At 44.3% G+C, this 22010-nt stretch overlaps 1 protein-coding gene and 1 pseudogene across 17 annotated transcripts in view; one reads left to right on the top strand and one right to left on the bottom strand.

The window, feature by feature from the left end:
• The window catches only part of STX3 (syntaxin 3), a 51691-nt gene that overhangs the window by 10016 nt on the left and 19665 nt on the right, over positions 1-22010 (bottom strand). For 11 of the 17 annotated variants that reach the window (XM_047427501.1, NM_004177.5, NM_001440524.1 and 8 more), the window contains exons 3-9: positions 8727-8826; positions 6916-6990; positions 5277-5344; positions 3648-3756; positions 2691-2764; positions 2349-2483; positions 381-491 (exon numbers count right to left, since the gene is read on the bottom strand). In XM_047427501.1, coding sequence (XP_047283457.1) covers positions 381-491; positions 2349-2483; positions 2691-2764; positions 3648-3756; positions 5277-5344; positions 6916-6990; positions 8727-8826 — 672 coding nt within the window. Of the gene's footprint in view, positions 1-150; positions 262-380; positions 492-2348; positions 2484-2690; positions 2765-3647; positions 3757-5276; positions 5345-6915; positions 6991-8726; positions 8827-22010 lie in introns of all 17 variants that reach the window. The other 6 variants (NM_001440529.1, NM_001440527.1, NM_001440525.1 and 3 more) reach the window with 3 other exon arrangements.
• Positions 14112-14758, top strand: FABP5P7 (fatty acid binding protein 5 pseudogene 7; annotated as a pseudogene).

Below are 22010 nucleotides of genomic sequence, written 5' to 3'. Positions count from 1 at the left end.
AGCTTGTCTCTAGGAAAAGCTGAGGGAGGGGTTGATGAGGCTACGACAGGGAGGGAGGCATGGGCTCAAGAACACAGGTAGGGGTGGCCAGGGAGAAGAGATACTAGTAAGACAGCTGAGACGAAGGACAGTTGAGATGAAGGTGCTCACCCTCCGGGCTTCACTCTGATACTTGACAGCCTTTTTGGTATCTGCCACGGCCCGCTCCACAAAGCCCACTGACTGGTCCATGTTGTTCTCAATACGGTCAATCATGGATCCCTTTCCCCAGATGCAAGAGGTGGTGGCAGCAGAAACAGAGACAGGGAGAGGGAAGAGAAAGAGCGAGACACAGCAAACAAAATGGACTCTCTTCTCTGAAGGCCACAGGAGAGTCTCACCTTCCGGGCCTGACTCTGGTATTTCACAGCTTTTTTCGTTTCATCTCGTGCCTTCTCCACGTGGTCCACTGTGTGCATGACATTCAACTCTATGTTATCTAACATCTCACCCTGCAAAGAACAGACTCTGATCACACCAAGTAAACGTCTCAGGTCAGTCCTAGCCAATGCGGGGAAGGGATTCTCTTTCTTACAATCTTCAGTGGCAAGAAGAGCATCCACAAACCTTGATGCATGGCCTTCCATAGGACACCCATTCACAGTCCTTGGTGGTGGGGTGGCAGTCACTTGTTCAAGAAACATTCAGTGAATTTTACTACTTCTCTGTGACCAGCACTCCACCAGGCATCCAGAACATACTATCTAGATACCTAGTAACTACCTATAAATATACTCTGAGATATCCCCAGACAACCTTTGTTATTTTTTTTACACTTAAGCACATGGAGAGGAACCAAAATAAGGATATCTCATTGTTATTAGGACATCACTAGGATGCTGGCCTCTTCCTGGTCATTCAGACCTGAATCAACATCATTCAGCCTGAATTGAGTATATTCACTAACTGCAGAAGAGTGCCTGGCACACAGTAGGTGCTCAATAACTATCTGAGGTGGGGAACATTTGCTTTCTCTAAGTTATTTCCAGGCCCTTTAACTGACAGACATTGGGTTTACCCAAGCTATTTGGTTATATTTTCCCTTCCAGACAGTGGTCTCTTGATAAGCTTCCCAACCATTTCCTAGCAATCACTTCCTGACAGGGAAGTTTGATCATTCCAATTAATCTTAGGCATTTTAGGAATTCTCCTCAACTACCCAACCCAACTCTATCACTTTATGGCAGTCTGTAAACAGAACAAGGCACTTACCACCACTTGAATCTCAAGCCAGTTCCTCGGCAAGGCAGTGTGGGGGAAAAGAAGAGGTGGGATGGAGGGACTTGAGAAATGGTCTCAGAGGCCAGTAGGGAATGGGGGGAAAGCATCCAGGCCCTCGGCAGGGAACCAATGTCAAAAACTAGTCAAGCTGTGCTCGAGCTTCAACTAGGTTGTGCAGTCTGCCTACTATGGAAGCAATTTTCTCTCCTATCCCAAGTGTCAGAGCAGCTGGAAGTTCATGGCAACAGTGCACAGCACCATGACCCTGTGGCACACTTAACTGTCCCATAAGAACTAGGAACCATCTAACTATGCGAAACTAGCGCCCTATGCAGGCAATCCAGAATTCTATCCCGAGCAAGCATGCCTGGGACAAAGTAAGCTGTCAAACTAGCACCACGAGTGTTTCGAGTCTTTCTGTCAATGCTATTTTGCTACTCCTTCATTCATGTTGTTGTCTGCTCTGTGCCTTAGCAAAAGGTGCCAAAATTAAAAAAAAATACAAACAGAAAAAAAATGGAAAAAAATAAAAATTTATGTTAAACCTGAGTCTTCCCTGTGAACTAGAGAAAAGATCACATTTTCAATGTCATCAGTGAACTAGTCCATATCAGGAGGCTGTTTTAAAACGTCACCATTAGGAGCCCGGATCTCTGATTTTTAAGAAAGAAAAAAAGACAAATCCTGGGAGGATTGCTTGATCCTGGGAGGTCAAGCTGCAGTGAGCTGTGATCACGCCACTGCACTCCAGCCTGTGCAACAGAGCAATACTCCATCTTAAAAAAAAAAAAAAAATCAAAAATCCAGGAAAACTGGGTACTTGACAGAACACATCAAACCCTGTATCAACTAGCAACGACTGCAAGGCCAAAGGGACAGGCAAGAATGACAAGGTTAAGATCACCCAAAGTGTCAACATTCAATTTGAATGCACACTTTCCCATGGGATTCTGTTTCTCCTTTATGCAAATTCCCAATGGTTCTCCCACCCTACCTCACTGGCTTCCAGTATTCCCTTTCTCCCTGTTCTCAGTAGACCCTGAGCTTTCCTCTCCTCCCTCCCCACGCTGGGACTCACTGCCACTTACCTGATTCTCCACCAGCATGGCGATGTCCATAAACATGTCGTGAAGCTCCTTGATGCTGCTCTCCAGCCTCACAATGTCCTTGTGTCGTCCCTCAATCTCACTGAGGGCTTGCTTGGAAATCTGTGAGTCAATGATCTACAACAGGCCACACACAGACTGTTAGCTACCCCTGCAAGAAAGGCTGCCCCTGCCACAGCCCTCATGCACGCTCCTGGGGAGCTCCTTGCCTCCCTGAACTCCCTGCACCTGCAGCTCCCCCTCCACCTGCTGGACTGCATGAGCTCCGCAGTGGCCTCCCTGCTCACGAGAGGGATGTGCTATCCGAGCACACAGGGCACTCACCCCAGAAGTGAAGATGGCCGGGTTGCCACTCTCCAACATCTCCTCCAGCTCCTCATCGGTTGTCTTTTTGCCAGCTTTGTAACAAAAGAAGTAGAGCGTCAAATATAAGATCACGGTGAAACACCATCTGATAAGGACCCTGAAAATTAGGAACGTGACTTCCCTATAAAGACCGTGGCCTTTACAACACTCCCCCAATTGCCTCCTGACTCATCTTATTTCTGCCCTAATCCAAGCCATCCTTAACACTATCAGCAGTTACCTTCCTAAAGCACTTATCTCATTACATTGCTTCCCAGCTCAGAACATTTCCTTGCCCCATTCACTACACTATGGTGTCCAAGGCCCTCATAACATGCTAGTTCATGGGCAAGCCCTCCCTCAATCCATCCTAACCTTATGCTACTCCAGACACACCCTTTCTCCAGACCCTAGACAACCTGCCACTCCTAAACACACTTGCTCTTTCTTGATTATGTTCATACCATTCCTCTCATCCAAAGCACCTTCCACTCCACGGGGCCCTGCCTTCCACATTACTACATTCCTAAAGGGTATGGCTTTATTTATTTCTCTAATCCTCCCAGCAACTTACACCATACTTTTATCCTCCCAGCAACTTACACCACACTTTTTATTTCTTAAATGTGCTTTGCTGTCAAACAGACAGCAAAATGATACAATGAGTCCACAAGAGAGCAACTGTTTGGCAAGCATTTCCCCTCTATATAGGAGACAATGCTGGACCCCATACAATAAAATTACTTGGGCCTGATAAACACGGTGTCACCTTTCAGCCTACAGCACAGCATTCGGGATGTGCCAGTGGTGCAGGAGCTGCCCTAGACTTAGGCACAAAATGTGCTTCCTGCTTGCTCCACCAGGGCCTCAAAACTTGGGATGGACAACCAGGTGGCAGGAAAGGTGGAGGGCACACGCCAAACCTCAAGTACATACTAATTTCGAGCTGCCGCTGGATTCGCCCTTTGCTGCGTTCTCGGAAGTCCACTTGAGCTTCATTGTATTTGGTCATCACCTCCACAAACTTCCGAGAAAGGACAGAGTGCTGTGGGATGATGTAAAATGCAGTCAGGCCCCAGTGGTTCTGTAACTGTTATAGAACCCCTCCCCACCCCCACATAGCCATCTACAATAGCACTGGACTTGGAATCAAAAAACCAGGTGTCAAACCAAGTTTTTTGTTTCCTAGCTTTGTGCCACTGGGAGAGTCCACTGCCCTTTCCAGAGCATGGTTTCAGCACCAGTTTACTGAAACCGGTTTACTGCTGACCTCACGTGGTAATTGCGAGGCCAGAGGTCATCTCTAAATCTCTGAGCCCTACATCCACATGGACTAGTAGCATTTTTCTGGCACAACACTTGGCTTGCATTCTAAAACTGTCAGATTCCCTTCCCACATGTCATACTTACCAAAGATCCTTGAGTTCTTACGCTAAACTCATCTCCCCAACTCTTCTTGCTTATAAGTAGATGCATTATCTCAACAGCCCTGCATGCCTAAGCTAAAACCTTCCTAATAATTTTTATTCCTTGCTCACCTCTCAGCATCAAGCCCTACTTACTGGTTTCTCCTTTGGAAAATCGCCAATATATATACTTTTTCCAAACCCACTACCACCATACAAATTTAGACCAAAACCCTTGCAAAAACCTAACTAGGGACCTTCCAGTTTCCTGCTTCTTTCCCACTTGTAAACGGCTTTCAAATGGCTACCATAATAATCCTCCTAATATACTGCCGCCTGAAGCAAATGCCTGTAAGTTATAACATCAGATCCAAATTCCCCAGACTGGTCCTCAAAGACCTCTAGAATGTGGCACTACATTATCTACTAAAAATTATGTGTCCACTATCCCACAGCAAACTTTTTTCTACAGAAAGCCTATTGTCTTCACGTCTGCCCCTTACGTCTACCCACCACCACTACCAACCACTGCTGCCAACACACACATATGTGCGTGCCTCACTCCTGCCCCTGTGCCTCTCAGAGAGGGGAAACTACTTCCTGAGGCTGCTCATGTTGGCACTCTGGCCCAGCCTCCTCTGGCTACCCCCCATTCTTCCTGAGATCTTTTGATGCTGAGAGCACCATGCATGTGTCTTCTTATCGCATCCTCCTGCTGGGTCGCATCCTCCTGCTGGGTCTTAGGTAATAGCTTTCCATGCCGCTTCAATGGCATGCCAGTTCTTTAAGGACAAGGATCCTATCTTTGATGACCCCTAAAGTGCCTAGCTCCAAACTGGACAACCAATGACTAACAATTGTTAGAAGACATTAATTTCCTCTCCTGTAAAACAAGAAGGCACGCTAAATCCTAAGCTGTGCTCTAGGAAGCCTGAAAAGCTCTTCAGGGGCCTCCTTAGAGAAGGAGAGTACAGGAGAGGAGCCAAAAGGGCTGGACTCTGGCCCTGACCCCTATTTCAACCTGGAGAGTTCTCCTTTACCAGGTCTTCAAATTGAGTTTCAAAATAAGGATTGTATTAAAAAAAAAAAATCCCTCCACAGTTAAGGGAAAACAATAAGAGATTGGACTAGCTAATCATGAGACCAGGAAAAGTCTTACCTGGGATTTCCGAATCCGAAGGTCTGCCGATGACCTGACCTCATCTTCTTCAATATGCTTCTCCATGCCTAAAGAGGAGAGGAAGGTTATACTTGCAACCTATCTCCGCCTCCAAGAAACATGCTATTCAGTGAAACTTCCTCACTCATTCCCACACATCCAGCCCACGGAGATGTAACAGGTAGGTGTCACCTCAAAAGGTCAGCTCCCAGATGAGCCACAGGACGTGCATTCCACAGCCTTTACGATGACCAGGTTTTGGCATAACAGTTAACAGCATGGGTTCTGGTCACCATGAGACTTAGGCTTGAATCCTTGCCCTGGCACTTACTGGGTGTGACTTTGAAAAAGCCACTTAACCCCTCTTAATGTACCTGTTCTCTCATCTGTAAAACAGAATAACAGTCCCTCCCTCACAATACTAATGTGAAGATTAAATGAGAAGACACATAAAGTGCCTAGCACAATGGCAGGTGCACTATCACTGTTATTACTGGAATCTGCTACTAATGACTCCTCCAGTTAAAATAGTTATTGCAATATACTTGGGGGGAAGAAATGGTAAATTGAGCTGAGCAATAATGCTTTCTCTTCTGATCAATAGCATGCATGCACCAAATACACTGGGCAAGAATGCAGGCTCTAGCAACAGAACTAAGTAAACCTTCTAGGCTCTGGAAGAACTGAATCTATGACAGTAGCTTCATTGAACTATACTCTCCCAAATGGGGGGAGTGAGGGTATGGGAAGGTGGTATGCCTAGCCCACCAAGAAATATCTGTAGACTGAATGATATCTCTTGCATTTATATATCTCTAAAATGACTATTCAAATGTATGTAGGTGGCCGGGCATTGTGGCTCAAACTTGGAATCCCAGCGATTTGGGAGGCCCAGGCAGGTGGATCACTTGAGGCCAGAAAAGTTCGAGACCAGCCTGGCCAACATGGCGAAACCTCGTCTCTACTAAAAATACAAAAATTGACTGAGCGTGGTGGTGCATGCCTGTAATCCCAACAACTTGGGAGGCTGAGGGATGAGAATCACTTGAACCCAAGAAGCAGAGATTGCAGTGAGCCAAAATTGAGCCACTGCCTTCTGGCCTGGGCAACAGAGCAAGATTCTGTCTTAAAAAAAAAAAAAAAAGTATGTAGTTGCCAGGGAAATAAGACCAATAAGAGAAAAGTTGATGGGCCAGGTGCGTCCCAGTTACTCAGGAGGCTGAGGCAGGAGAATCACCTGAACCCAGGAGGTAGAGGTTGCAATAAGCCGAGATCACACCACTGCACTCCAGCCTGGGGGACAGAGTGAGACTCCGTCTCAAAAAAAAAAAAAGAGAGACAAGTTGAAAGACTAAGTTAAAGGACCAAGTCACAAAACTACTCAGCAGCTGAAAGCACATTTTAATTCTCATCTCCTAGCTTCAATTCTGGACTCTTTCCAGTACAGTCAGGATTTAAGAAAAGGTAAATTTCTGGGGCTACAATGGATCATTGCGGGGACAGAGCCCAAACCACAAGCAAAGATGGACCAAGTGGTGTCACTTCCATCAAGAGGAGTTTCAGTTCGGAAAGCTGGACCCTAGGGGAGCTGAGATAGATGGTGGTGGGGACGGCCTTGTTTTCTTTGTTCCCTTCTTACTCTTCAGTTTGTTCCGGACGTTGTTGGCCCTTTTCTTAATCTCAGTCGTGAGCTGCTCTAGGTCATCCTTGGTTTCTGGGTAAATAAAGGCAGGCAGAATCCGTTAGAAAGGAGAGGACTGATTCCTTTGTGAACTACAGCAATCATCATCAGAGGAGGGGAGCTTTATCGGGCATCCACTGCCCAGAATGGTATTTATCCCTACGCACTCCCCAGCATCTGTCATTAGAATCACAGAGTGCTTATTTTTTTAAAGGCATTTTCCAGGCACCCCATCTCAGTCTACAGAATAAAAATACCCAGGGTTGGAACCACAAAATCAGCTCTTTCAACCCTCCTGAGTAATCCTGCAGCACATAAAATTGTGGAAACTCTGCTTTTAGAGGAAAGAGCCTACCACGGGAGCTTCGGTTGAGAAGGTTCTAGGGAGCTTATGGGGAAAATAGATTTCAACCAAGGCTAATCAACTTAAAATGAGGCAAATATTTATGACATACCTACTACACACATCCTAGGTTGTATGGAGCAAACTAAGTGTTAGCTATAACCATTCATTCAAAAGCCATCCTTCAGCCCCTACTACAACTTTGGAACAGAGCTAGAAACTATGGAATCAGAAAGAAGATCTAGATTTTTCCTGCAAGGTGTTAGAGTCTAGTGGGAGACAAAGGAGAAATAAATCAGCAGCTCTAATATGCAGCGTGGAGTAAGGTATGAGTTCTGGTCAAGGTGTGCACAGCCTGGAGGGATCTGGAAAAGCCTCTAAAGATGGAGATGAGCAGGACTGAGTCTCAAGGACTGTGAGTTGGCCAGGTAGAGAAAGAGACTAAAAGCAGGAATTCCACGAGAAGAAACAGTAAGTAAAGGGTATGAGTGAACAGGAAATGCCTGGGGAACCAGACAGAGTTGCTCTGGCTGAAGCGTGGGAAGCAGGAGGAGGATGGCAGGAGACAGGCTGGCTGGGAAGGCAGGAATGTGATCAAGACAATGCCCATATGCTCTGCTAAAGTGTTCCCACTTCAGTCTTTAGGTAAGAGGGCCCATGGGAAAAATGAAAGAGTGGAATGACAGTGTCAGGCTTGTTCCCTGTTCTTAAGGAACCAAAAATATAGCCCTAAACCACCCGTGTCCAAACCGTGGAACGCACGGATTTTTTTGCTTATCTGTAGTGGCAGATATCAGGAAAATTATGCACAAACCTTTCTTTCAGCGCTTCAGCTATCGTTAGTGTTAGTGTATTTTATGTATGGCCCAAGACAATTCTTCTTCCAATGTGGCCCAGGGAAGCCAAAAGGTTGGACACCCATGCAAACAATTAGGGGAGAAAAAACGTTTGCCTAGGTGGTGGTAACAAACAGGAGTTTAGGGATAGAAGGAATTTCTGTGAACTCGAACCATTTTGGAACACCTCATGGAAAGAAAAAATGGACTTGATCTGGTAGGATTCAGAAAGAGGGCTAGGAAAAGCAGTTCAGGCTGGGGAAATAGTACACGCAGAGGCTCAGAGGAGGGACAGGGCACAGGGTATGTAAGCAGCAGTGGGAATCGTCGCCAGTCAGGAAGAGGGACTAGCTGGGAAACAGGAAAGTCTAGCTAAATGGTTGGAGTGGGACCATGAAGACAAAACCTTGACTGTGGCCAGGCAGTAGGAGCTCAGGTAAGGTAAAGGGGAGGGAAATGAGATAATATGTACACTAGTGCCCTGTAACTTGTACACTTCCCTACTGCTCACGAAGGGCAAGAAAACAAGGCTGGCTCAGCTCCAAGGAAAGGGTGATTGTTGGATGACTCAGTTCTAAGTAAACACTCACTTGGCTCTGGAATCGGTGCAGAGAGAATGATACTGTAGAGTTTCTTAGCCTCCTCTACATGTTCTGAGATCTTGTCAATGTTAAGCCGAGTTTCCTCAATCTATAATCAGAAAGACAATAACCTTCATCATCAAAGAGGAAGTACAGGTCCATGGCTGAGATAAACGTTTGGCAGAGCTGCTGGTGAAAGCTGCCCATCTTCTGGGTTTGTGGAAGAAGATAATGACTTAAAGTCCTCAGCTGCCCAGTGAGTACCCTTTCCATGGTCAGATAAAGTAATCTCAACAGAACAGTTGTTAAAAATCCATACTTGTTGCTCCCTAAGAGTAATACATTCACCCACTTTGGATGAAAGGATTCAGGCCAAAGTCAAGAAGAGCTAAGAAAAACCATGAAGAATGATCAGAGGGGGAGAATCAGCAGACCTTAGCAGGCAGAGCCTTAAAGCCCAAAAAGTGAGAACAGAAAAGAGTGAGGATGAAGGAGAGGGGAAAAAGGAAGGAAGGAAAGAAAGAAGTGAAAGGAAAAGAACAAACCTAGAGAGTGAAAAACACAGAATGAGAGGAAGAGAAAGACAGAAACAGATAGGCCAGGCGCGGTGGTTCATGCCTGTAATCCCAGCACTTTGGGAGGCCGAGGCAGATGGATCATGAGGTCAGGAGATCAAGACCATCCTGGCTAACACAGTGAAACCCCGTCTCTACTAAAAAATGCAAAAAAAAAAAAAAAATTAGCCTGGTGTGATGGTGGGCGCCTGTAGTACCAGCTACTCGGGAGGCTGAGGCAGGAGAATGGCGTGAACCCGGGAGGTGGAGCTTGCAGTGAGCCGAGTTCGCACCACTGCACTCCAGCCTGGACGACACAGCGAGACTGCCTCAAAAAAAAAAAAAAAAGAAAGAAAGAAACAGATAAAGAAAACAAGGAGAGAAAAAGAGAGATACTAGGCAATGAAGGTCTCAGGAGACAGCCCAAGCTTCTCTAGGACACATATGTTCTTGTACTAACTGATTTCCTCAGACGATCAGGACCCAGTAGCTCGAGCCACAGCCCATTTCTGCATATTTCTAAGGCTCCTGATTGTACAAGGCTGTGAGTATCATAAAATATTTCCAGCAGCACTTCATTCCCAGGTAGAACGCCACTGTCAGACATTCCTGTGTGAGCTTTGACTGCAGCCTCAGCTCCCCGCTTCATAGGTGCCCATGCCACTGGTACCACAGCCCTGCTGCAGTGGAAGCCTATGTACAGGGAGCAGGGCAGGAAGGAGAGACCTCAGCACCTGTAGGGTCTATCTGCTTCACTCTCAAAGTGAAGGGCACATCAACATTGCAACAATTGACAAACAGAAATCTTGTAAAATGTCATACAGTAGGATCCTAACATCTGAGATGCAACAAAAATAAAACTCAATGCATATGCAGCTTCCAGCATCCCTCTTTTCCTGTGGACACTTCACCTTTTTCAAAACCTGATTATAGCTCTTCATATTCAATAGAAAATAGGAGAGGCCAGGCACAATGGCTCACACCTGTAATCCCAGCACTTTGAGAGGCCGAGGCAGGCAGATTACTTGAGCCCAGGAGTTCAAGATCAGCCTGGGTAACATGGCAAAACCCCGTCGCTACAAAAAATACAAAAATCAGCCAGGCATCGTGGCATGCCCCTGTAGTCCCAGCTACTCAGGGGGCTAAAACGGAGGATCCCTTGAGCCTGGGAGGTTGAAGCCACAGTGAGCCATGATCATGCCACTGCATTTCCCGCCTGAGCAACGGAGTGAGACTCTGTCTCAAAAACAAACAAAAAAAAAGGGAAAAGAAAGAAAATAGGAGAAACAATACTTGAGCTCTCTAGCCCTCAAATCAGTACTTTTGCCACTGGAGCACAGGATTTTCCCCTCTATAAATATATTGGCTTAGATGTGCCAGAGTTTAAGAGTAGAGCTGCTTGCTGAAAGATGTAGAATAAAATTACAATGTAATAATATCATGGGAGTGTAAACATACATACAGGTAACTACCCAAATATTTGTGAAGCATTTTAAGAGTTTACAAAGCAACCTATAAGACTGGACCAGTACCATTATTCAAATGAGGAAACAAGTTTAAAGAAATTATAGGTCACATAGCTAGTGGTAGGGACAGCATGCAAATAGTGCCCTCCACACTCCAACTGGGAAGCTTTTTTCCATTAGATTGAAGAGTTAATTTTTTTAATTATCTGTACTGTTTAGCAGCATTCCAGCCCTACCCAGCTATAAAAAAGGCCTCTGTTACAACCTATGATACTCACTGATACAGTTTGGCTCTGTGTCCCGACCCAAATCTCATCTTGTAGCTCCCATAATCCCCATGTGTTGTGGGAGGGACCCAGTGGGAGACAATCGAATCATGGGAGTGGGTCTTTCCTGTGCTGTTCTCATGATAGTAAGTCTCACAAGATCTGATGGTTTTAAAAACAGGAGTTTCCCTGCACAAGCTCTCTTTTTGCCTGCTGCCATCCATGTAAGACGTGACTTGCTCCTCCTTGACCTCTGCCATGACCGTGAGGCTTTCCCAGCCACGTGGAACTGAAAGTCCATTAAACCTCTTTCTTTTGTAAATTGCCCAGTCTCAGGTATGTGTTTATCAGCACCATGAAAACAAACTAATACACTCACAGACTCTAGGGGTGTGACCACCTCAGAATCTACTGGCCCCTCTTAGAACTCATGTCATTGCATCACACCATGGTTTCCAGTTCCACCACATAACTGTCTTGCCAAAGCAATTACACTGTTTTACAGGATTGAGGGAGGGAAAAAGGCTTTCTAGAAGAAAACACACTAAACATTTTTAAATGAGTTTATCAAATTTTAAATTTTAACAAGTCATGAAGGACTTAGATTTTGCATGTTCAACAGATTGGTTGTCACAGAAATTCTCTCATCTGGAAAATTATTTTATAAACTGAAGAGTATTCTGACCCAAAGTTCAGTCAATGGTAGAAGCACAGGAAGAGATAGGAAGTTTCTAGGATGAGACTGGCAGGCCTCAGGCTCAGTGTCACTACAGGCATTTGGAGACTGGATGGCTGATACTCACCCTGCCCTATGCACAGGAGAACTGGTCCTGGGTGCTCTATCCGCAACCTGCCTACGGGACTTCCCAGGCCCAGGGAGCACTCCATTCCACCCCACCCATCCTCCACCCACTGTAGCTGGTCTCTTTCCTCTGACCGCATCAACCTTTCTATTTGGAGGCATTTCAGGGAATCTGATTTCACAGCAATTTAGTCAGTTCACCAAATAATCACAGGACCTTTTTGGGACCTCAGGATGGGCAAGTGGCCAACCATAGAGCTTTCTTTTTTTGAACTTCGTGGCTTTGCTTTTTCTTAGAAGTACTGGTTTTCCTCAAAGGTGACTTTCTGAGTATTTAATGGTGTGAAATGGCAGCTACATGTGGTTTCCTTTTGTGCATTTGCCACATAATCAAAAAATCATGAGGCAATTGCAGGGAAGGGGTATAGGAAACTGACAAGTGCCCAATCTAAAAGTTTAAGGGCTATTGCATGTGTTTGTCTGGGGTTAAGTATACTGACATCTAAAATTACTCTGCATATTCATATATTTAAGAACTAAAATTGACTAAACATATTCTTGTATCAGAAATGATGCTATGCACTTCACAATACTTCTATGAGGCTACCATCATCATCTCCTTTTTATACATATGAGAATATCGAGTCTCAAAGAAGTAGAGAAATTTACTCCAGGTTATACTGCAGAAAGAGGCAAAACTGAGGTTTGAACTCAGGAATACTAAATCCTGTCTCCTGAACCAGGTAAACGCCTAAGGAAGGCTCCTATATCTTCTCTCCCAAGTTCATGCATATTCAGCTCACATCAGGTTAATGTGCATGTTCAATCCACTGTTTTGGGAGAATGGATCAGTTGCCTTTCACAGAGATCATCCTTATTTCTCTGTCTTCTCACCACCGCTCCCTATAGAAAGCTTTTTACAAAATGAGCCCTCAAGAAGTATTGCTGACCAAGTGTTGACATCTAAAAGTGTTTTTTTTTAAATCACCATGTAAAATTTACAGCTAATATATTCCCAGTGCCTTCTCATTGCACATTGTTTATTAATTTTTTTTTTTTGAGACAAAGCCTTGCTCTGTTGCCCAGGCTAGAGTGCAGTGGCATGATCTTGGCTCACTGCAACCTCCACCTCCCGGGTTCAAGTGATTCTCCTGCCTCAGCCTCCCAAGTAGCTGGGATTACAGGCACCCGCCACCACACCAACCTTTTTTTTTTTTTTGTATTTTTAGTAGAGACAAGGTTTCACCATGTTGGCCAGGCTGGTCTCTAACTCCTGAGCTCAAGTGATCCGCCCACCTCGGCCTCCCAAAGTGCTAGGATTACAGGTATGAGCCACCAGGCCCAGCCTAAAATGTACTTTTCAATGCTTTGTTAGTAATACGGGAATCCAGATAATATAGGATTTAAGGAATTAAGATCAAACAGACCAGGTTCCAGTTTCTGCTCCATCTCTCTTAGCAGTTTTATGACCTTGAACGCACCCTGTAAGTGTCCCTAAGCACCAGTTCTCTCATCTGTGAAATGAGAATTATCACAACTCCCACTTTAGAGTTTTTGTGAAGATTAAATTAGACAATACATGCCAAATGTTTAACATAAAGTACATGTTCAATAAATGTTAGGTGATGACAATGATAAATACAAAAATGCCAGCAATTACTGCACATTTGTCATATGCCAGGTACTATGCAGTGCATTTACAGGCATGTCTCATTTAATCCTCATAGCAATCCTGTAAAAAAGTCTTAATAAAACAGTCTGACCTCATCAGTAGCCACCCAAGGAAATCTAAGGTCAACACCCAAGTCAATCACTCTACATGTTGGGCGTGGCCAAATATAATTACTATATTATACTAATAACTATAACTAAAAGGAAGGAGTTATTTTCGAGATCTGGATGGCCTCTTCCTTCTGGACCTAATTAGCCAGTGGAATCTAATTAAACAAGGAAAAGCAGAGAAAGTACTAGTTTGTGGAACTGGCAGGTTGCATGGGGTAAGATGGAAGGCTAAGCAAAAAAGCTCTGTTTATTCTCCCTAAGAATTAGTCTCGGCCTCTCCTAAACTCCCAGGTACCTTGTACCTCTAGTTGAGCATTAATTGCTGCATATTTACGTATTGAAAACTTATTGCGAGGTGACAAGAGCAATGTGATTTTAACTGTCAAATGATCCCTCCTTTTCACAATTTATACACCTTCACTTTCCCCAAAAAATGACAGAATCCCAAGCAGTCTTCATATTAGAGCTGCTCAGTCAAGTCCTCTTTAATTTGTTTGCTTCTTTGCTTTAGAAAACAAATGTTGCTCTCTGCACGCCAGCCCGCCCGCACCCACCATGGCCACAGTTCAGCAGCTGGAAGGAAGATGGCGCCTGGTGGACAGCAAAGGCTTTGATGAATACATGAAGGAGCTAGGAGTGGGAATAGCTTTGCGAAAAATGGGCGCAATGGCCAAGCCAGATTGTATCATCACTTGTGATGGTAAAAACCTCACCATAAAAACTGAGAGCACTTTGAAAACAACACAGTTTTCTTGTACCCTGGGAGAGAAGTTTGAAGAAACCACAGCTGATGGCAGAAAAACTCAGACTGTCTGCAACTTTACAGATGGTGCATTGGTTCAGCATCAGGAGTGGGATGGGAAGGAAAGCACAATAACAAGAAAATTGAAAGATGGGAAATTAGTGGTGGAGTGTGTCATGAACAATGTCACCTGTACTCGGATCTATGAAAAAGTAGAATAAAAATTCCATCATCACTTTGGACAGGAGTTAATTAAGAGAATGACCAAGCTCAGTTCAATGAGCAAATCTCCATACTGTTTCTTTCTTTTTTTTTTCATTACTGTGTTCAATTATCTTTATCATAAACATTTTACATGCAGCTATTTCAAAGTGTGTTGGATTAATTAGGATCATCCCTTTGGTTAATAAATAAATGTGTTTGTGCTAATATAAAAAAAAAAAAAAAAGAAAACAAATGTTGATGAAAAGGGAGGGAAAAGGCCACCTCAGTCAACCAAGCAATGGAAGTCAAGTCCCAAAAGCATTTTATCAAGACCAGGACTAATGTTTCAATTCTCCTTTTATGAATGAAAAGAAAAGAATGATCTCAGAATTATACTGACCAATGAAAACAAGTATTCTGAGACAATAATCTCAAGTAAATTAAGTGTGTTGGGGCTTTGCATCACTCAAAACTTAGTCAGGAAAGTGAAAACCTATCTAGTTATTTTAATCAAAGTAATATAATAAAGGGATTGTTTATGCAGGGATGGAAGCGTCAAGAAGCCAAACAGAAGTTTGCTGGGGCACTCTGAAAATTAGCAACAGCAGGTCAGAGCGAAAGAGAAGGAAGGCAGGGTCACCAGAGCCTAAAGCCAGAGCTGTCTGATGGGGACCAGACCATGGTGGAGTTGACCAGCAGAACTGGGACCATGGAGGCGGGGTCTATTGAGAAAGAGCTGAGGCCATGAAGAAGGCATGTCTGAGGTAGAGAGAGAAAGGAGGAAAACTATGGTCTCTTCCCTCCTCCTTGAGTCTTCTGCTAGTACCTCACTGTCTTAATCTGTTCAGGTTCCTGTAAGAAAAATACCATAGCCTAGGTGGCTTAAACACAGGATATATTTCTCACAGTACTGGAGGCTAGGAAGTCCACTGGCAAATCTGATGTCTGAGGAGGACCCTCTTCCTGGCTTGTAGACAGCTGCCTTCTTCCAGTATCTTCACATGGCTGAGAGAGAGATCATCTTTCTCACGTCTCTTTTTATAAGGGTACTAATTCGCCCTCATGACCTAATTACCTCCCAAAAGCCCTACCTCCAAATACCATCACATTGGCGATTAGACTCCAGCATATGAATTTTGAGGGGACACAAACATTCAGTCCATAACACTCTCCTTAGTCAAATATACCAAAAGCAATTGGCAGGGGAAGCTGGGAAATGTAGTTCCCTGTGATACAGAGAAGAGCAGAGGAAGGACAGTAGGGAATGGTCCTGAATGCAAATAGGCAAATGACTGGCAAGGCTTCCTGCCTGCCCCATTGGAAGAGCCCAGAAATGCAGAATCTACCAGTTTGCCTGGTAGGTCATTGTCATCCAATATTCTACTTAAAGAATTAAAAAGTATTTAACCTGCTAGATTTAATGTGTGGATTTCCAAGTTGGATTCACTTTGAGGTTCTTAGTTCTAACAAAAATCAAGCATACCTAGCAAATCCATATGCTTCAAGACTGGTCACCTCACAGCTCCTCCAGCCAGGTATTGCTCCACCCACCCCTCACCCCAGCCAGGCTCTGCTGCACTATGCCCACAATTTATCCACCCTAACTTCTCCCAGAACTGATTCAGATCCCCTCAAGCACTAGGACCACGTGTTGCTCAACTTAGACTACTTGATATTCATCACTGTCAAGCATGTGGGTTACTCAGTAGACATTTGCTGAATAAATAAATGAATATAAGTAACTGCAGGAGACAAGTATGCTTCTTATATCACTACAAATGGTCTGTTATACCACTACAAATGCATACTTCTTATGGACTGAATGTGCTCTCCCAAAATTAATATGTTGATGCCTAATCCCCAATGGGATGGTACTTAGAGGGAGATGGGACCTTTGGAAGGCATTTAGGTTGTAAGGGTGGAGCCCTCATGACTGTGTTTTGTGCACTTATAAGCAGAGGCCAAAGAGCTAGCTTGCTCTTTCCACCCTGTAAGGATACAGATACAGCAAGGTGGCAGTCCACAACCCAGAAGAGGGTCCTCACCAGAACCCGATCATGCTGGAATCCTGGTCTCGGACTTTCAGCCTCCAGAACTGTAGGAAACACATTCTTATTGTTTATAAGCCATTCAGTCTACGGTACTTTCTCATAGCAGCCCAAACTAAGACAGCATTCAAAAAAGTAAATTTTTGGCCAGCGTGGTGCCTCACACCTATAATCCCAACACTTTGGGAGGCCAAGGCGGGCAGATCACCTGAGATCAGGAGTTCCAGACCAGCCTGACCAACATGGTGAAACCCCGTCTCTACTAAAAATACAAAAATTAGCTGGGCATTGTTGTGGATGCCTGTAATCCCAGCTACTTGGGAGGCTGAGGCAGGAAAATCGCTTGAACCCAGGAGGAGGCGGAGGCTGCAGTGAGCCGAGATCACACTGTTGCATTCCAGCCTGGGCGACAAGAGCGAAACTTCATCCCCAAAAAAAAAAAAAAAAAAAGGAAAAGAAAAGAAAACTTTCATCCTTATTAATAGAAGTTCCATGTTAGAAAGTGTTGCTCTGAAAAATTAAATGCTAGGATAGCCAAGTTAAGCTGATTTATTACAGGACTTCTTAGAGCTTTCAATAAGTTAACGTGCATTTTAAGTTTCCAAGAGAAGAAAGAAGCAGGAAGCATTTCTCAAACATATTTGATCACAGAAGGCTTTTTGCACCTCACACTGCCATCTGTGACAACGCATTTTCACTGACCCAACAAACAGCCATTCCCTGGCCCCTTCCCTCTCTTTCTTTTTAACAGAAATCTGACTTTGTTTGGGTAGTGGCATTGCCAGCCCCAGAGGATGAATCATGATGTGTTTGATGGCAATCCTGGCAATCCTGTCCCTTTGCTGAGTACTCACTTTCCTGGTGTCCCTTCCAGCTAAGGAGGCCCACACCATGTGACCCAGTGCTATCCAGGAGGCCACAAGGGAAGTCAGATTGGAGGATCTGGGCAGTTTTCCTCTCTGATGAAAGGACCTTTGGACTTTTCTAGCTGCACCCTTTCTTAATGCTTGCAACGCTGTCACAGGGTGATGCCAAATAGAGCTCTGACTCTGGTGGTTTCAAAACACAGGCAGGTGGGACCTATGTACCGCTCTTTTAATCTGGCAGGCTTGTGACTGCTTCAGTAACAGAGCCAAGCAGAAGTGATGTGCTATGTAACTTCTGTAGCTGGAACACTTGCCTTGCATCCCTGAGCTTCTATGTAACAAGTTCAATAGCCCTAAGTGGGCCAGCTACGAGAAGCCCAAGCCACAGAAAGAAGCCAAGTGTAGGTGCTCTGACTGACAGTCTCTGCTGAGCTTTTCCCTTGAGCCACCCCAGTAAAGGCACCAGACAGTAAAATTTTAAAAGCCTCTACAAGATTCTAGCCTGCAGTTGTTCAAGTCTTCCCAATAAAAGCCCCAGAAATTGTAGAGCAGAAGTAATCCGGACCCACTTTGCCCTGTTTGAATTCCTACTCCACAGAATCTGTCAGCAAAACAAACAGTTGTTTTATACCACTAAATATTGGGGCTATGCTGTGATATAACAATAGATAATCACAGAACAGACTCTCTCTCTCACAATCCTAAGAGAAAAGCCAAGAGGATCACAGTGATGCTGACCTAGAACCCCAAGCTGACCTTTAAACGGCACCATCCCTAACCCCAAACTACTTCATATGCAAAATAATTACATATCTTTGTTGCTTAAGCCACAGTTAGTCAAAAGCATCCCTAAATGATAGGCTACACTGCTGCTCAGGATCACAGATTCAGGTCAAGGCTCCATCGCTGGCTTGCTGGTCTTTCCATTTCAGGTCTTTCGCACCCTCCACAAACTGCCATCGGAGTGAATTTTCTAAAACACACTCTGAGCCCATCACTTCCTTGTTTAAATCCTCGAAGGTTCCCCATCACTTTGCAGTGGTGCATAGCTGCAGTAGGCAACAGAATTATCCGGAAGACATTCCTAAAAATCCAAAAGTCTGAGCCATTCCAGTCCCTAAGAATCAGGTATGTGTATGTGCAAAAAACTCCCCAGGTGATTCTGATGACAAGTCTAGTTAAGAACCAGGGAAATCTTCCCTCACCTTCCTCTCTGCAGGCAGAATTTAACGCTTCCTCTTCTGTGCTCCCATGGTACCTTACTGACACTTTTCTTATCATATAACAACATTTTAAAAATTTCTATCACCCTTACCAGATAAGGAGACAACAGGGGGCGAGAATCCTGTCACAGAACATTGGATCCCCAGCACCTAACATGCTATCTTGAAGACAGTAAGCGCTCAAATACTTTGATGAATAGATAAACGAATACAGAAAAATAAACCCCTAATGTTTCTGCCTCCAAAGGCAGGTCTGTTTCATCTGAACATTACTTTCTGCCAACTGAGCAAACAAACCAAGAAAAATATAGACAACTGCAAATTAGACAAAAATGTGGCGTTTATCATTTACCAGGCTCTGGCTTGATCAGCCAAAGTGGCCTGAAAACCCAAGGGCCAATCTTTTTTTCCAACGATCAAGAAGCTAGAGAAGATACAATGGAATCTGACAGTGCAAATCACATTCTGAAAACACCCTGGTCCTATGACTTCATGTGCACCTTGCAAATACCTCTATGACTAAGCTGTGATTCATGCTCTCAGCAAATAACCAAGGATGACCTCCTGGAACCAGTCCAAACAGTAAGTTTTATCAAGAGTGCTTTCCCAAGAAAGCGACTTAGTTATATAACCTGCAGGGTGTAGTGGGCATGATCACCAGTCACATAGAGGGGGACAATCTCTCATTTCCCCAAATCTCTATTCTCTGAAACATAATTTATCCCAATTTCAACAGTATATCTACACCACATTCTATAAAATAAACTTTGTGGTCTACTTATTCATAAGTACACTGGGGGACAGAAGGGTGATAAGAACATATGTACTAGATGTCAGGCACTGTGATAGGTGCACCCATACCCTTTCTCATTTTATATCCATAAAATCCAACAGGTAATATTCTCTTTTTAGAGAAAACTGGGGTTTAGAGTAGTTAACTTTTCCAAAATTGTACCACTGGTAATGGGCAGAGCTGAGATTCAGACCATGTTAGGTGGGGCCAGAGCCTACTTGATCCACTCCCTCTTACTTCTCCCCACTCCCCCAAGGCCTTATCCTCTCTGTGCTCTATCAGATCCAAGAAAAGAGGAAAGTAACACTGCTGAACCCCATGCTAAGTACTTTCTGAGCATTAGCTCCTTTAATCTCTACCAAATCTATGACATGAATATTTTTCTCCCCAGTTTACAGATAAACCCACTGATACTTGGAACAGTTAAGGAATGTGAACAAGATCACACAGTTAGTGGCAGATATGGAATTTAATTCAAAGATCATGTTCTTTCCACCTCCCCATGCTGTCCCTCTTCTCCACTCTAAATATAAGTTTCACGGGGTTTTTCCCTAAATGACAGACACACACATAACAAAGAGAAAGAAATAAGCAATGCAGCAGCCCTGAAGGTCTTGTTAAATCTTCAACAGCCTCTTCAGAAGTAGCTACCACCCATCCAGTGCTTTTATGTCTGACGATCCTTCCCAGATGTGTGATCTCATATGATCCTCATGGCATCCTTGAAAGGTAAGTACTAACACTCCCAATTTCCAGAGCAGGACATTAAAACTAAGAGATGTTAAGCAACCTGACCAAGGTTACACTGCTACGAAATGCTTGAAAAGTGGACTCAAACCATGTTTTAGAGGCCAAAGCCCACCATCTTCACACCTAACAAAGAGGGTCCTCTCAGGGACCCTCTGACTGGCTCAGAAGAAAAAGGAGAACACAGTTATTGGAAAAGATTCCTTATCTTAGGGAAGAAGTTCTTTAATGTATCTGGTTCTCCAAGGCAGACTGAGATGAGCTAGAAAGACTTCAAACATCTCCTTAAGTCCACCCCCATCACGGAGTGAAAGGATATTGTCCTTCCACGATCCACAATTGGAGTAACACTGGACTCACAAAGCCTAAGTGTTGTTTGATCTCACTATGACTCTGATGGACCCGCCTGTGAGGAGGGTGGGGATCTGTGGAGAGTTTACAGCCAACTTCCCAATCAGGCCAGCACACATTCAAGTTTATTCTTAATTCCTGTTTATTACTCTAACAGATAAATGGGCACGAACCGTCATGCCCCACTCCATTCCTTTCAGAAAAAAAACTGGAGGGTTACTTTTCCACATCCACAGTCTAGAGGATGGGAAGCATCACATTCTCTCTGCAAAAAGAGCACGATACTTCTTGTTTTCTTTCCAGGGGAAATTAAAAACCTAAGAAACCATAGTATGGTGGCAGAAACTTCAACAATAGTGAGCTTTTTGTTTTTGTTTTTTGAATTATCATTCATTAAGCACATATATGCCAGATGCTATGCTGTGTTACAAACATTATTCCTCTTGGTTTTTGTTGTTGTTGTTTGTTTTTGAGACGGAGTCTACCGCTGTCACCCAGGCTGGAGTGCAGTGGCGCAATCTCGGCTCACTGCAACCTACGCCTCCTGGGTTCAAGCGATTCTCCTGCCTCAGCCTCTCGGGTAGCTGGGATTACAGGTGCCCACCACCACACCCAGCTAATATTTGTATGTTTAGTACAGACAGGGTTTCACTGTGTTGGCCAGGCTGGTCTCAAACTCTTGACCTTGTGATCCGCCCACCTCGGCCCCCCAAAGTGCTGGGATTACAAGCGTGAGCCACCACGCCTGGCCTGTCCCTCTTAATCCTTATGCAACTCAATGGGGATTTTTGTTGTTTATTGTTTTTTTCTTTTCTTACCTAAACACTGGATCACCAGTGAATTTTTTTTTTTTTTTTTTTTAGGGGACAAGGTCTCACTCTGTTGCCCAGGCTAGAATGCAGTGGCATGATCATAGCTCACTGCAGCCTCAAACTCCTAGGCTCAGGTGATCCCACCTGTGGGAAATTACATTATCAATCCTAATTTACAGGTAAGGAAGCCCAGACACAGATTGTTAAGGAACGTTCATGAAATCAACAGCTTCTCAGAAGCAGGGTTGAGATTTGGGCCCAAGTTTACCCAGCTCGAAAGCCAGTGTTTTCATCCACGATATACTACTGCCTCTACAAGCTTTCCTCCACCACCTACCTATCATAGTACCATCCCATTGAGGACCTTTAAGATCAGAGTACATGGATCTGTAGACATGAACCCATTTTTGCCCCTGTTGAACTTTTACAAAACTAAACTGGCAGTTTGGTTTCTCAGTTACCACTAGAATTAAGTCAGAGGGACTATAATTTTTTTTTTTTTTTTTTTTTTTGTGTGTGTGAGACAAAGTCTCACTCTGTCACCCAGGCTGGAGTGCAGTGGTGCGATCTCGGCTCACTGCAACCTCCACCTCCCGGATTCAAGTGATTCCTTTGCCTCAGCCTCCCAAGTAGCTGG

This window comes from Homo sapiens, chromosome 11, assembly GCF_000001405.40.
Source record: "Homo sapiens chromosome 11, GRCh38.p14 Primary Assembly".
Lineage (NCBI taxonomy): Eukaryota > Metazoa > Chordata > Mammalia > Primates > Hominidae > Homo > Homo sapiens.
The sequence above is the reverse complement of the archived record's forward strand: the minus strand, read 5'-3'. Positions and strand labels throughout refer to the sequence as shown.